This window comes from Homo sapiens, chromosome 1 (assembly GCF_000001405.40).
Source record: "Homo sapiens chromosome 1, GRCh38.p14 Primary Assembly".
NCBI classification, from domain to species: domain Eukaryota; kingdom Metazoa; phylum Chordata; class Mammalia; order Primates; family Hominidae; genus Homo; species Homo sapiens.
The window spans coordinates 110,516,993-110,532,159 of record NC_000001.11 but is presented as its reverse complement, the minus strand read 5'-3'; the positions used below and the strand labels follow the sequence as shown (position 1 = coordinate 110,532,159).

Genomic DNA, 15,167 nt, shown 5'->3' with positions numbered 1-15,167 from the left:
CCTCAACCCACTGCTTCTTCCTCCCTTCTTCTCCTGCTGGCAGCCCCTTCAGATGCTCACTCCTCAGAGAACCCCAATATAGGTCCCAAGCAAAGAGGTAACCTAGATCAGTGCCAGAACTCTCTCTCCCCTGGCACATACATGTCCCTGCTAAGAAGGGCCTCCCTGGGGCAAGGAAGACAGGCACAGTCCCTGGGCACAGCCTCCTGCCTCTGGGCAGTGGCAGTGTGCCAGGCGTTCTGGCTCCCTTGCCCCTGGGATCTAGTCTCTTATCCACCCCTCATAGGACATGACCAACCAAGTAACCCTGAGGGGGAAGCAACAGCAAACAGGAGTCACAAGAGGGGAAAAAAAAAAAAAAAAAGAGAAAGACCAAGGGAGCAGGGAGGGCATTGCTCACGGGAAGACAGTGCACCATTTACTAATGGACTCATCAGCTATTGATAGGAAAGGCCTTTGTGCCACCCTATTGCCTGGCCTGGGGAGCTGTGCTGTGATGGGATCTGAGCAATCATGGTGGGCCACAAACAATTCCTGAGCCAGAATTTAGACCTCAACTCAAGGAATTAGTGGGGTGGTCACCAGGCTTTCTGGGGTACTACCCCTTCTCTAAGACAGAGGCTGCCCTGTGCATAGGAAAATGGGCTGGGAACAGCAAAAGTTTCCTTCATGAGGAACAGCAAAATGTTTCTCATCCCAACATGGCCCAAAACACCTGCCATTAGAGCCCCTTCTGCAGAAAAGGCACTGTGCATCTCCAGGTTCCCGAGAAAAAACCCACAATTTCCATGGGATCAGCTGATCCTCACCCAGCAGCTGCAGGGCCCTGGGACGCCAGACTGGATAGTTTTACAAAGGAAATAAGGGGAAGGGATGGGGTCTGATGATAGAGCAGTACCAGAGGAAGAGCCCCAGGGCTACCCAGTGAGGAGCAGGGAGCTCTTAACACATGGGGAGGCCCTGAAGGTGCAGCCTGTGCTCCCCAAAGACAGTTTTACCTATTTTTAATAGCAACATTTGTCCCTAAATCTCTTCAGCACTTTATAGTTTACAAAGCACTTTAAGTCCATTATCTAATAATGGTCTCTTGACTATGAAAGTAGACGGAGAACATATAGAGGTCATTGACTCAAAAATATGACAGCTATGTTTACCGAGTGATTTCACCAGGCCAGGCATTGTTCTAAGTGTTTTATATGTATTAATTCAGTTAAACCTCACACAACACTTTGAGGGATGTACTATTATTCTCATTCCCACTTTATAGATAAGAAAATGGAGCCTCAGAGAGGTTAGGTAATTTGTCCAAGGTCATGCAGCTAGTAGCTGAGCCTGGATCTGGACCCAGACAATCACCTCCAGAGCCTATGTGCTGAACCATTGTGCTGTACTGCCACAGAGAGATTAAGGGATGTGCTCAAGGTCACCAGCAATTAAATGCTATAAACTCAATGCCAGGTCTTCTAGCTCTCATACAGTCTTATCCCACCTCTCTGCCTCGCCTTCATACTATCACCCAAATACACCCCCTCAGGATGGTAAGGTCAGACAGCCGGGGCAGTGTCCTTCCTCTCCACCCCCAAGGATCTGGGACACAGGACTAGACAGTTTTATGAAGGAAGTAAGTGGGGAGGGGTCCTCTCCCTGAGGAGGGAGCCCTTCCCAACATTGTCTCTCCTCCAGGCCGCAGCCCTCCCAGGGAACCGGAAGGGGTCTGGCTAGAGTTGGAGAAAGCTCTGTATATCAGCTCAGTCAGGCCAAGGTTCCAGCCCTCAGGTCCCATGGGACTGAACCAAGCATCCTTTTTTATCCTCTACCCTGACCCTTCCCGCAGCAGGTGGGCGGAGGCCCATCGTAAACTCTTCAGTGCCAGGCAGGGGCCAGTCACTGAGGAGACCAGGAAAGCGATGCCTGACTTGATCAGCCAGTCACGCAAGGTCTCCTATGAGCAGGGGTAATGATTGGGAGACACAAGCCCACCACCACCACCACCCTCTGCTGCCTGCATGTTATCACTGGCTTTAGGAAACACCCTTAGTCAGTAGCTAACTCAAACCCTGAGTGCATCAGTATCTGACCTGTGCACCTTAAGCCCTGACGTTGGAGGTTGTACTTTCCTGAGTTCACTTTGCCCAGTTGTCCCTGGAGCCCTGCCACCCTGTATCCTGCCCACTGACCACGACTGGATCCTCTCTCCAGCTTCCTCCAGAGACAGAGACAGCCAGGGAGATCCTGTTTCACAGAAGGATAGGATTTCTGAATCCCAGGCACCAGCTGGGCAGGCTCCTTCTTGCCAATCCTCCTCTTTACCTCGAGAACAGCAGATTCCCCATGGAGAGCTGACCCAGCCAGAGCACCCATGGCTCACTCAGGCTGAAGAAGACACACCTTCCCTTCTATTGCTCCTGCTGGTGAGTTCTTGGACACGTTTTTTTTCCTTTGCCCCACACTTCAATCTCCGCACCTGGATCTTAACCACCATATCTAAGGGCCCCAAATATCTTTCTCCTGGAGTTCCTGGAGCATCCTGCAGAAATTTGATTGCATGCATGGCAATAAGCAAACGCTAGCCAGATCGGCTCATCTCCCAGCACACTCTCAGGGAGACACATTATTCTACAGCCCACATTCCTAGTTTAGTCCTGAGCCTTCTAAGAACACCAGTTTCAGTTCCCCACCTATGTCTGGACTTTGTCTTTCCACAAGAAGAAAGCAGAGCTGCCCCCACAACCGCAAGCACCATGCCCCTTTCTGCTCCAGAAATTCTGGAGCCTTCTTGGGATTTAAGGAGGCCCACTATCAGTCCTCTGCTCAAAGCCCCATGTAAGACCCAACAGAAGAACAGGCTTAGAAGCCAACAGCAGAACTTTAGCCAGGAGAATAGAGAATGGCCTCCATGGTATTTTGTCAGGCACACAGGCAGCCTCACTGCCCACCCCACCCACCACAGGCAAATGCCTGCAATTCCACCATGGATGCTTTGTTCTGTAGCTCATGCCTTTGTGCACCAATCAATGAATTATTCGACAAATATTTTCAGATGTTCTTCTATGTGCAAGGCAACATATTAGGTACTGGGGTGATACAAAGATATGAATCTTTCCCCCAAATCTCTCTGTACTCATTATTATTTCCCCCACTTTATGGATGAGGAATTGAGACACAAAGAGGTTAAGCAGCATGCTCAAGCTCATGCAGCTTAATTAATCCTGGAACGTAGCTACAGTGTAGTTCTTAAGGGAGGTAACCCCAAGAAAATAACTCAAGATTGGGGTGCTCACAATAAAGGAGAGGCTGGCATTTGGCATTTTATTGGTCAGTGTCAACACTTAGCCACAGGGCTTGCTTGCCTCACCCTGGGCTGGCTGTTCAGGGAAAGAAAGGCAAGGAAGAAAGTATGGTGGGCAACAGCCAGGTGGAGTAGGGGCCAAGTCCACTCCCCACTCCAGTTCCCTGGTGGATGCTACATGTGTCCACAGATGCTAAAGTTGGCTGCAGACAGCAGATGAGGCCAAGGTCCCACCACAACCTGGGAGACAGAGACACACACAGGATGTGTGCCAGGCTGGGTGTGGAGGGAATCACTGGAAGCCTTTCGCAGGAGTGACTTAACCCACCCTGGCTGTGCGGAGGAGCACTCTGGTAGCCACATAGGGAGGACAAAAAGAACTGAGGAGGCCATGGCAGCAATCCAGGCAAGGAGTGACATCTGCACAATGGCTGGCAACAGGACGGAGAAAGGGGAGAGGTGGGGCAGAGATGGGACCTCATGGAGGCAGATCCCACAGGTTTTGGAAACTGATGGGTGTGAAGGTCTGGGAGAAAGAGGCCTTTACCTGAGCAGAGAACCAGACCAGGGCACACCCTGGGGACAGGAGAAGACACTGTGAGCTCAGATAATCACAGGGGCGCCAAAGGAAGGCTCCACTTATGCTTTCACAGCCTGGCCCAGGCAAGGCAGCTGTTCCCCAGGGCAGCCAGGCCTGGGCTCCTACACACACTGTAACCAGCTTTTACATCGTGCTCGCCATGTGTCTGGTGCTGTTGTGTTTTACATTCACCCCTTTAATTATCTTGACAGCCCTATGATATAGGTATTCTCATTTTACAGATGAAGAAACTGAGGCACAAAGATTAAGTGTCTTGCACAGGGCCACAGGACTAGCTGGTTATAGAGCTGATATTGCAAACCCTGCTGTCTCCAGAGTCAATGTTTGTTAACACCGTGCTAAATAAACTGCCTCCTGGGAGGGTGAAGGGAGGATGTTGGGAAGGGATGAGGCAAGTTTAGGTAAATTTATCAGTGGTGAATTGCAGCATGTTATTGAGAAAAATCAGAGAAGCACCTTGGTTCAGAAAGGCTCCTCATCAGTGGGCAAACCTGGCTCAGGGCTGGTGAATCTATCCCCTGTGTTTTCATGAGCATTCTGACATCTGTTATCTCACATGGGCTTCAGACCTATTCATTCAACACAGATGTTTTTAAGAACCTTCCATACAGAGTATCAGGGGATAGTCTGCAGGGCAGATGTTTCCATGACTGTTTTAAAGATGAAGGAACTAAGATCTAGCAAGCTAACGTGACTCCCCTAAAGCTACACAGCCGGCAAGAAGCAGAGGCAAACCTGAACTCATGTCCACAGACTCCACATCCCATGCTCTCCAGCTGATAAACTGGCTTCATGAAAACTGGTGGCTGAGGGCCAGGTGGCAAGAGTGGAGTGTTAATTAGAAATGTCCCCTACCTTACAGTTTCATCTAAAATAATTCCTTCTTACATTCCTGGGAATGGGTAAAAACAAACCCATATTTCAGGGGATGGGAAGGAGAGGTTTCACAGGAACAAAAACCCCAGCACACTACTGCTAATCTGCCCTTCCCCATCCCATACCCCACAGCTGAGCTGAGCTGGTCAAGAAGGAAGCTTGGTGGGGCTCTGTCGAAGCCCCCTCAGGGAGCAGCAGCTGGATACAGGGTGAGAGGCTGAAACTGGGACCTAGTTGAGGACAGGGCATGGTGAGTGTATGGAGAGTGTTCAGCTCAGCCCCAGCTCTCTGCAGTGTCCCTCCTGGCTCCACACCTCCCCAAGGACCTGCTTAGCAAGGCTGACACCCAGAACTCTGCAGAAGGCCAGCCCAAAACTGCAATGAGCTTCCCACTTTCCAAAGTCCGAAGGGTAAATACCCACGATAGACTTGAGCAGAAGCTGCATTGCTGAAGGTGCAGGTACTGATGGAACCAGCCCCTCAGCTACCAACCACCATGTATAGACAGAACCTGTAGGAAGTTCTTCAGGCTTCCAGACCCATTACTTCTTTGTTGTCTCTCCCAGTATCCAGAAACTGCATTTATTACCATCAGAGGCAGATGCTCCCTTCTCTCCAGAGCAAACAAGAAGGCAATATGGGGACTTGATGGTGCACAAAATCAAGAGGTCCAGGAAAAAGAACCCAGGAGTCCTGCCTCCCAGTTGGCTTCCAGAGCAAAAGTATTTCACCCAGTGTTGGGAGGCAGCTGTTCCAGTCTCCATGGTTCATAGCAGTTAAATTGTAAGCTCTTACATTCCTGCAGGAATGAATTCTTCCGTGATTGTTCTTTTCAGCATCGCTGCTGCTGCTCGGGTTTTAAATGAAAGAACTCTTGCTTGCATCATTTCATCCCTTTAGGAAGATAGATTTGTCCTTGAGCAGTCCCTGCAGGGAGAGAGACAGACTGCCCACACTGTGCCCATCGACACTCTAACAAGGAAGAGAGTCACGTGACCAGCTTTCTGTGCCCCCTCCAGCCCTCCTTGTCTTCTTTCAATTGCTCCAAGTAACAGAACATTCTCCTGTTCTGAGAGGCAGAGAGACTAGATGGGAGAAGGGGGTGTCAGGGCACACCTGGAACAGAAACATCTGTGCAACGTGGGTGGTACTGGGGAGTGCAAATTTGTGCATGGGAACCCTCTCATGCGTGCCTGCATATTTACGCCAGCACGTGTCTATCTCTGTCTTCAGGTATCTTGGTAATTGTATGTGCAGCATGGATATGTCCGTGACTGTGTGAGAAGACTCACATAGCCATGCTGGTGTGTGCCTGAGTGTGTCTGTTGTGGCTATTTGTGTGTCTGTATGTTTGTGTTGCATGTGTGTCTCCATGTCTCTGTGTATGTGTGTGGGCACTGCCCCTGGCTGAATGACAGTAGGCCACACGTGGTAGTGGATCTGCTGTTGTGGGACTGTGACAGAAACGTGAGTTTGAGTCACAGCTTTATAACGTAGTGACTGAAGGACTGTGAGCCAATCACACAGCTTTCTGGACCTCAGTTGTCTTATTTGCTAAATGGGGGTAATAATCGCCACCTTCCTTAGGGCGCATCGTGAGGCTCACATCCTGTGTGGAACTGTGTGGTCAGCAGGAGTGTAGGTAACCGAGTGACCACCTCACCCCTCACAGCAGGACAGGAGGAAGCAGCTTCACCACAGACAGAGGGGCTTAGAGCACGGGCCGTACAAGTTCTACCCAGCCTCTGATGGCCCAGGCACATCGGTCCCCGAGGCCTTCCCCTTACTGACCATGCCTGTCCCAGCAGGCTCAGCATCAGCATGGACAGCCTCTGAAAGGGCCTGGCTGCCATACTAGTAAGGGTGAAACTCACCCATTTTACCGTTGGCAGGACAGGAAAAGGAGGAATGGCCATCCCCACCCCCATGGTCCCTGACCGGGCCCAACTGATAGCAGCTGCCAGCATTTGCTGAGTGCCTACTGCACGCTGCGTGCTTTCTATGTGACATCACTTTCCCACCACACCCTTTCCAGGGAGGTGCTAGCAAGGCTACTGTAAAGACGAAGAACCCTAAGTGAAGGGAGCATAAGTAACTTGTTCTCTGTCACGCAGACACTAAGTGGCCAAGCCAGGATTGGGAGCTGGCCCTCCTGTCTGCCCCCAGAGCCTGTGCTCCTGACCAGGATGGAGAGCCTGCCTCAGGCTGGATGAGGGGCAGCCCCCACACCCAGCCTGCTGACCTCCCCACTGAATTCAGGTCTCCTGACGGACGCTGCTCTCAGTTTCCAGCTCTACCCTTTCCATGGCCCTAAGGCTGACATCGCCACCTCTGCTTTCCACTCAGAAAGGCTGGAGGAGCTGGGCACTCGAGGGACCAGAGGGGCTACAGTGAGCAGCAGAGCCAGCGAGTCTTGCCTAAGACCCCATCTTACCATTCCCTGGTTGGGGAAACTGAGGTTCTTGGAGAGTGAGGCAACATAATCCCGACCACGTGAGACAGAGAGGTACAGAATCCACACTCTTCCGGCCGGGCCGTGGTTCAGCATGAGCCGAAGAGATGGGGCTTGGCTCTAAGAGGGGCAGAGACCAGAAAGGGTGAGGTTTGAGAGCCACTCACTGGGGAGAATCTGCAAGACCTGAGGCCTGGCCGACCCTAAAGTGAAAGAAAAGCGGCATCAAAGAGGTAAGTAAAGGGTCCTCGGAATGGCCCAGGGATTGCTTCCAGCAGGACAGCAGCGCCCTCTTCTGTCCAGTCACAAGAGGTGTCACGGTTTGCGTTTCACCCCCACCTTCCTTCAGTCCTTCACTCATTTGCTCAAGGACCGGAGAGCCAGGCCCACCTGCCCACCCCCTCATCCTCCTACCTGCTTCCAGCCCTGCGACATCTGAGCTCCCTGTCACCGGGGCCTTGGGGCCCTGAGATGCAGTACACACTGTTGTCTTTGCATGATTACTTATTTCAACCATTCTCTGACTAAGGAACAGCTGCTGCCTCACCTGAATGTGTAGGAGGTGTTGGAGTTGCTAGGCAACCAAAGTTGACCCATGGGGAAAGGCCATGGAATGGGTTCTGGATACTGCCTGCTTGGTATAGCTCTGTGACCTTGAAAAGCCAGGTCCACAGCCCTGACATTAGCCACAGATGTCTGCAGGTCTGTTCTGGGAGAAGCACAGGGCTGAGCCCCTCCCCATGCCCTGCCTGCAGGAAGTGCCTGGTCCAGTCAGAGAAGAGGTTACCTGAACCATAAAGCCTCATCCTCAGTCTGGCTGCCAACATGAAGAGCTACAGGGCTCAGGAGGGGCAGTTGGGATGGCTGAGGTCTGTGTCACGTGGGCAGGGAAAGCTTCCCAAAAAAGATCAGCTCCCATCTATGGGATGCCTACTGCATGCCAGGCAAAGTTCTATACACTATCTCATTCTTTCCCCCAAGAATCCAAAAGAAAGGTATGATTAGACCCAGTTAGAGGGGAAGAAAGCAGAGTTCACAGAGGTGGTGATGTGCCTAAGGTCACATACCTAGTGGGTAAAAAGATGGGATTCAAACCCAAGCCTGTCTGGCTGTTAGGGAAGGGCAATGAGCAGAGGTCAGAAGATGGGAAAGCATAGGGGTCTCCGGGACAGTGAGGGGGCCAGCCTGTTCCCACATGCCAGATGCTGAGGGACCCAAAGATGACAAAGTTCTAGGAGATAAAACATGAATCAAATAAAATGCCGAGAAGGAAATGTAGACAACTTCCAGGGGGTGCTCAGAAGGGCAAGAGTGCCTTCACCTGGAGTCCTTAGAGAAAGCTTCACCTTCAGGTGAGGTTAGAAGTGAAGTATGCAGGTGGCAGGACCTGCCCACATGGTGGCCTGGAGGGAGGAAAGTACAAGTATGTTCAGCAAGGAAAAGAGATCTGTTTCAGCCAGGTGCACTGTCTCAGCACTGTGCCAGGCAAGCACAGAGATTACATGTAGAATCGGACGTTATGGAAGACTCTTGAACGTCATGATCATTTCAGCTATGGGTGAGAGTTCAGCCTGGTGTAATGGCAATTCCATCAAGGCCCTGGATCACTGGGCAGATCAAAAGATCTAAGACTCAAAGGGTGTCACGCAGAGCAGACTCCAGGCCCCTGCCTGTTGCAATGGGAGCCAGTCCCCAAATAACCCCAGCTCTGAAGTTACAGCTTCATCAAGTGACTCACCCCACCCAAGGCGTCCGTCTCCTTCCAGAGTGTGGGACAGAGTGGGGGCAGCCCAGACTGTGAGTCCAAGGGGCAGAAACAACTCTGATCTTGACTCTTATGAAATACTAATTATAGTACAAAAGCCTATTGAAAGAGTGAAACCCTTCCAGAGAAGCAGATATTTTCCAGTGCAAATAGAGGCTTCTCTCCCACCACTAAACAGACAAAATGCCCAGCACCAAGCTGAGAGAGCCAGCCTGCCATGGCCCGGGGCGTCCTTGACATTGTGCACATCTCTGAGAGAGGGTAAAGTGCCCACAGCCTGATCTGCAGGGATACAGCACTGCTGGGTGGTCTCTGGGCACCAAGACTGACCCTGGGCTCCAGGGTACATTCATTCTTTCTAAACAGTTTTCTGAGCTCTTGCAACATGAGCAGACATGGTGCTGGGCACCGTAGTGAGCACTATGCAAGAGTAATCCCCTCTTTCCACATGACCCATGCAGTTTACAGAGCATCATACCATCCCCTTTGGTCCTTGCCGAAATCTTGAGGAATCATTGGCAAACCATGCACTTTTATTTCTTTTGTTTGTGTGATTGCCTTTTTTTTTTACAGATTTGTTGAAATACAATGACGCACACTAAACTTAGAGTGTGCTACTTGATAAGTTTTGACTAGTGTATAGACTTGTGAAGCCATCACAAAATCAAGATAAGAAGCATAAACTTCACCCCTACAATCTTGAGCCCCTTTGTAACTCTGCCCTCACCCTCTCCATCCTTATCCCCAGGCAATTGCTGATCTGCTTCCTGTCATTCTAGATTAGTTTGCATTTTCTAGAATTTCATATAAATAGAATTATTCTATATGTGTATCCTTTTTATCTAGCTCCTTTGACTCTGCATATTTTCTTATTACAGATGAAAAAATGGAGTCTGGATGAGGTAATGCAAGCAGTCAGTAATCACAGAACTGTAGAGGCAATGCAGGTGTCCTGGCCCTGAGCCCATGCACCAACCGCCACCCCTCATTCATTCATCACTCATTCATTCACTCACTCACCAGAGATGAATTGCGCACATAGGTGGGCTAGCCAAGTGGTGCATAAGACAGACATGTTCCCTGCCTTCATGAGCTTACAACTCTTCATTCATTCATCCATTCACCTACTTAGCAAGCAGGTGCTTAACAAATAATCACTCTACATCCACAGGATACACTGTTTGAAACTGGCACTGCCCCACTACCTCCAACACCACCCTGACCCTCATCAGCCACCCTCCTATATGCAACTTTGAGCTGGACACTGGGGTGACGCAGGTGGGATTGTAGGGGAATCCTGTCCTCCAAGACCAAGCAGGCTGATAGGAAAAGCTCTGCAAAACACAGTCATGCATCCTGAAAACTTACAAGAGAGCTGAAGAGTGAAGGCTGATCCCCTGGAAGCTGGTGCTCCAAACTGAGGACAAAAGTGAGCATCTACACAAGCAGGCTAGCAGCACAGGGAGACAGAGGGCTCTCTCAGACACTGGCCAGGGCAGGCTCCTGGGACAAGGTAGGATCTGAATAGTTCCCAGATGGGCAGGGAGGAATAGATGATGGAGGAAGGGAGGGGGAGTAAAAAGCATATGAGAAGCAAGAGCAAAACAAGGATGAAGGCATGGAGTCAGGACTGGGCTGAGCAGAAGGGGAGAATAGTGAGCTGAGAATTCCTCCTGCAGTTCTTTACGTGAAACATGCTTTCTACAAGCATGTTATATTGGGTTTATGTGTGGAGCAGAGGGGAGGAAAACGTAAAGGGAGATTTTTGTCATTTTACAATTTACAATTACAATTTACAAAGTGCTTTCACTGTTACTACCTTATTTAGTTCTCAGTATAATCTTTGAGATGGGAATTACTATTATTTTTACCCATTTTATAGATTAGAAAGCTGAGTCATAAAATCCAATGATTTGCTTTAAAATATACACTCCTAAGTGGTGGGGCAGAGCCTCACACCAGGTCCTTGTCCTCAAGACGGTTCTCTTTTCTCTTTGTTTTAATGATTAACATTTGCTACTAATGGGGCAGGTGGAGCCGCCTGCACAGCACACTTCTGTAGACCACGGAATATGCTGTTTGACCTTGGCACTGTCTGCCACCTCCTCACCATCAGACCCTCATCAAACACCCTCCTACCTGTCACTTGACCTGGGGGTGGAAGTGACAAAGAGGAACCTAGGAGGCAGGGAGAAGGGAAATGGCCTGGCTCCCAAAAAAGGAAGTTAATTATTTGGCCAAAGAAGCTCTCCCTAATCCCCAAATGCTTTCTGCTGCTGGCCTCCAGAGAAGTTCCTGATAAGGGTCACTCTAGCCTTGGCTAGAACCATGGAAGTGGTTCCCAAACCTTGCCCAAAGCTCACTGATGGTACTCATTCCTCTCAGAAAGCGGGACTGATTCACACCTGGAAGATAATCATCAGGGAGCACCATCTGCGGTCCAAGACCCCAAAGGAGAAAATGGTGCTCCGAAGACATGAGATCAACACAGAGCTGGAGTCCCCCACCCACAGCCATCCAGCTGCCAAGCAGTTCAGGACAAGGCCCCCAAATCATCATGCGAATTACTGTGAAGCTACATTTCTCCAGGGCTTTACCATGTACAGAGCCAGGATTTGAACTCGGGTGGACTGATTCTATTCTCAGATTCCATCCTGCCTCCCAGCCATCCTACTGCTCACCGAGCCTTGCAGAGCAGGCTGGCACCTGGCATGCTTGGCAGTGGGTACATCCTTCCTCATTCCACAACTGAGGAAGCAGCAGCTCCGTGAAATTAGGCCGTTTGCAATGGCCACATACTCCTGAGAGGTAGAATGGGTACTCTACCAGTGCTGACCAACCAGACTTGAGCTCATCATTCAACACATGGCACCTGAACTGAGAAAAGGGGTCATGGGATGGAAAGAGCTCTGGACCCCTGACAATTCTGTGGCCCTAGCCTACAGCTCCCCACAAGGCTCAGCTCCTATATAGGGACTCCATGGTCTAGTGGGAAAGGCCCTGGGCCAGAAGGCCATGGCCAGGTTTAGGTCAGGACTCTGTAGCACTAGTTATGTGACCTTAGGAAGTCACTTTGTCCCTGTGACTTGGTTTCCGCATCTGCAAAACAGAGATAACATCTAACCTCACGTGATTATTGTCATCTAGTGAGATAAGTGAATGTGGAATCACTTTGAAAAGACTACAACACTACACTGCAGGATAGCCTTGTCGCCTGTAAAGGAAACCTCTCCAAGGCTGTGACCACTACAGATTTTGCCTGAGGTTAAGTCCCTTACTTCTCTCCCACTCCCACCCCCAGCCTGCCTGGGTTCAGTGTTCTTAAATTGAAACTGAAGCTAGAATGAACCTGAGGAAAGAAATATTAGTCTATGTGTATAGATGTCCAAGCCCACTGGGCATGATTTCCTAACCCCACCTCCAGCGTGCGCGCGCACACACACACACACACACACACATATACACACACACACACAGACACACACAATTATTTACTTCCTTCCCACCTAAAATGATTTCTCAAAATGAAATTACTTCCTATGGACACCTTGGACTCAGGCCAAAAAAAATTCCAATTGCTGGTAGTTTCTAAAGTGCTTGTTATGTGGGAAAGTTGACAAAAAACAATAGCTATAATATAGTGATCTTTCTTTCCACCAAGCATTCCATACGTGTTATCTCATTTGAGGTACCTTCAAAACAACTCTAGGAGTTATTTCCAGGTGAGGGGTCATTTAGAGGACATTGTCGATTGGCCAACCCAGCGTCTTGTTTTTCCTTCCCTAAAGAATCCCCATTGGGTTCATAGATCTGGTTCCACCCTTCACCACTTGGTCCAGAAGCAGGGGTGGAAGTGATGCAAAATGGTTGAATTCTAGATATATTTTGAAGACATGACCAAAAGGATGTGTGAGGGACTGGCTGTTGGTGTGAAAGAGAGGCATTACGAATGAGATTGGGCATGGAGACGTGTTTGGTGAGACAGAAGGCTTCATGCAAATACAAGATCATGCTTTTTATTATTAAGGAATGTTAACTTCCTCTTTTAGTATGGCCCCTCTGCCATCACATATGGAGACCATCCTTTGCTGGGGAGAATCTCCCCTTCTTTGCCAGGATCCTTTTTTTGCAATTTCTCCTAGTTATTAGTTTATGCAAACTCAGGGGTACAAAATGATTTTAAGGGAAGCATGCTGCCAAAATAACCATGACGTTCCTTCCCAAGCTACAAATAAGTCATTGATTAGCCCATTGGTGTACCTTACCTCAATAAACAAGGGCCAGTTGTATTCTGCCCTGGATCTTGTATAATGAACTTCTTCTTCTCCATAGCTCACAGCAGGCAGTGAAGGCTGAGGATCTTCATGCTTCTTCCCTGGCTCCCCTAGAATGGATGTGTGTGGCTGGAAAGAAATGGAGGTTGCGCTGGTCAATTTTGATAATTCAGATGAAATCCAAGAAGAGCCAGGCTATGCCACAGACTTCGACTCAACCAGCCCAAAAGGCCGGCCTGGGGGCAGCTCCTTCTCCAACGGGAAGATCCTCATCAGCGAAAGCACCAACCATGAGACGGCCTTCTCCAAGCTTCCGGGAGACTATGCTGACCCCCCAGGGCCTGAGCCAGTGGTCCTAAATGAAGGAAACCAGCGGGTGATCATCAACATTGCTGGGCTGAGATTTGAGACCCAGCTCAGAACCCTTAGTCAGTTCCCAGAGACTCTCCTGGGAGACCGGGAAAAAAGGATGCAGTTCTTTGACTCCATGAGAAATGAGTATTTCTTTGATCGGAACCGGCCCAGTTTTGATGGAATCCTATATTATTACCAATCTGGTGGGAAAATTCGGCGCCCAGCCAATGTTCCCATTGATATCTTTGCTGATGAAATCTCCTTCTATGAGCTGGGTAGTGAGGCCATGGACCAGTTCCGGGAGGATGAAGGCTTCATCAAAGACCCTGAAACACTGCTACCCACCAATGACATCCACCGTCAGTTCTGGCTCCTCTTTGAGTACCCTGAAAGTTCCAGCGCTGCCCGTGCTGTGGCCGTGGTCTCGGTGTTGGTTGTGGTCATCTCCATCACCATCTTCTGCCTGGAGACACTGCCAGAGTTCCGGGAGGATAGGGAGCTAAAGGTGGTCAGAGACCCCAATCTCAACATGAGCAAGACAGTCCTCTCCCAGACCATGTTCACCGACCCTTTCTTCATGGTGGAGTCTACCTGCATCGTGTGGTTCACCTTCGAGCTGGTGCTCCGGTTCGTGGTCTGCCCCAGCAAGACTGACTTCTTCAGGAACATCATGAACATCATTGACATCATCTCCATTATCCCCTACTTTGCAACTCTCATCACAGAGCTAGTCCAGGAGACAGAGCCGAGTGCCCAACAGAACATGTCCCTGGCCATCCTGAGGATCATCCGCCTGGTGAGGGTCTTCCGCATCTTCAAGCTCTCGCGCCACTCCAAGGGGCTGCAGATCCTCGGGCAAACACTGAAGGCGTCCATGCGGGAGTTGGGGTTGCTCATCTTCTTTCTCTTCATTGGAGTCATCCTCTTCTCCAGTGCAGTCTACTTTGCTGAGGTGGATGAGCCAGAGTCCCATTTCTCTAGCATTCCTGATGGCTTCTGGTGGGCAGTGGTCACCATGACAACTGTAGGCTATGGGGACATGTGCCCGACCACCCCAGGGGGGAAGATTGTGGGCACTCTGTGTGCCATTGCAGGGGTCCTCACCATTGCCCTCCCTGTGCCTGTCATTGTCTCCAACTTCAATTACTTCTACCACCGGGAGACTGAGAATGAAGAAAAGCAGAACATCCCAGGAGAAATTGAAAGAATCCTCAACAGTGTAGGCTCAAGAATGGGCAGCACAGACTCTCTTAATAAGACCAATGGTGGCTGTTCCACAGAGAAGTCTAGGAAATGATCAGTCCAGGGCTTCTTGGGTCCATCCTGTCTCTCTTCTCTCTTCTCTCTCTCTCTCTCTCGCTTTCTCCCCTCCTCTCTCTCTTCCTTCTGCCTTCCCTTCCTCCCTTCATTCCTTCCTCTTTCCCTCTCCCTTCTCTCATTTCATCTTTCCAAAGATCAAAATGTATCTTTTGTGATCAATAACTATCTTTGACTACAAGCTATTTTAATAAGCCCATACTTCTACTGTATTTTCTAAACTGTTTCTTTTCAATACA

The 15,167-nt window shown here is 49.8% G+C and overlaps 1 protein-coding gene and 1 long non-coding RNA gene across 2 annotated transcripts; one reads left to right on the top strand and one right to left on the bottom strand.

Moving 5' to 3' along the window:
• Nucleotides 1-5,332: 5,332 nt before the first annotated feature.
• On the bottom strand, nt 5,333-6,707 carry LOC124904292 (uncharacterized). The gene is made up of 2 exons (XR_007066353.1): nt 6,641-6,707; nt 5,333-5,693 (listed from the first exon to the last, which is right to left on the bottom strand). It is a non-coding gene; the product is annotated as an uncharacterized LOC124904292 (long non-coding RNA).
• Nucleotides 6,708-12,984: 6,277 nt separating this feature from the next.
• KCNA10 (potassium voltage-gated channel subfamily A member 10) lies at nt 12,985-14,943 on the top strand. The gene has a single exon (NM_005549.2). The coding sequence runs from the start codon at nt 13,373-13,375 to the stop codon at nt 14,906-14,908; it is 1,536 nt and encodes a 511-aa protein (NP_005540.1). The 5' UTR covers nt 12,985-13,372; the 3' UTR covers nt 14,909-14,943.
• Nucleotides 14,944-15,167: the final 224 nt, after the last annotated feature.

What these genes read in the sequence shown, in the direction of transcription:
- KCNA10 (NM_005549.2), top strand. Translation starts at nt 13,373, where the DNA reads ATGGATGTGTGTGGCTGGAAAGAAATGGAGGTTGCGCTGGTCAATTTT.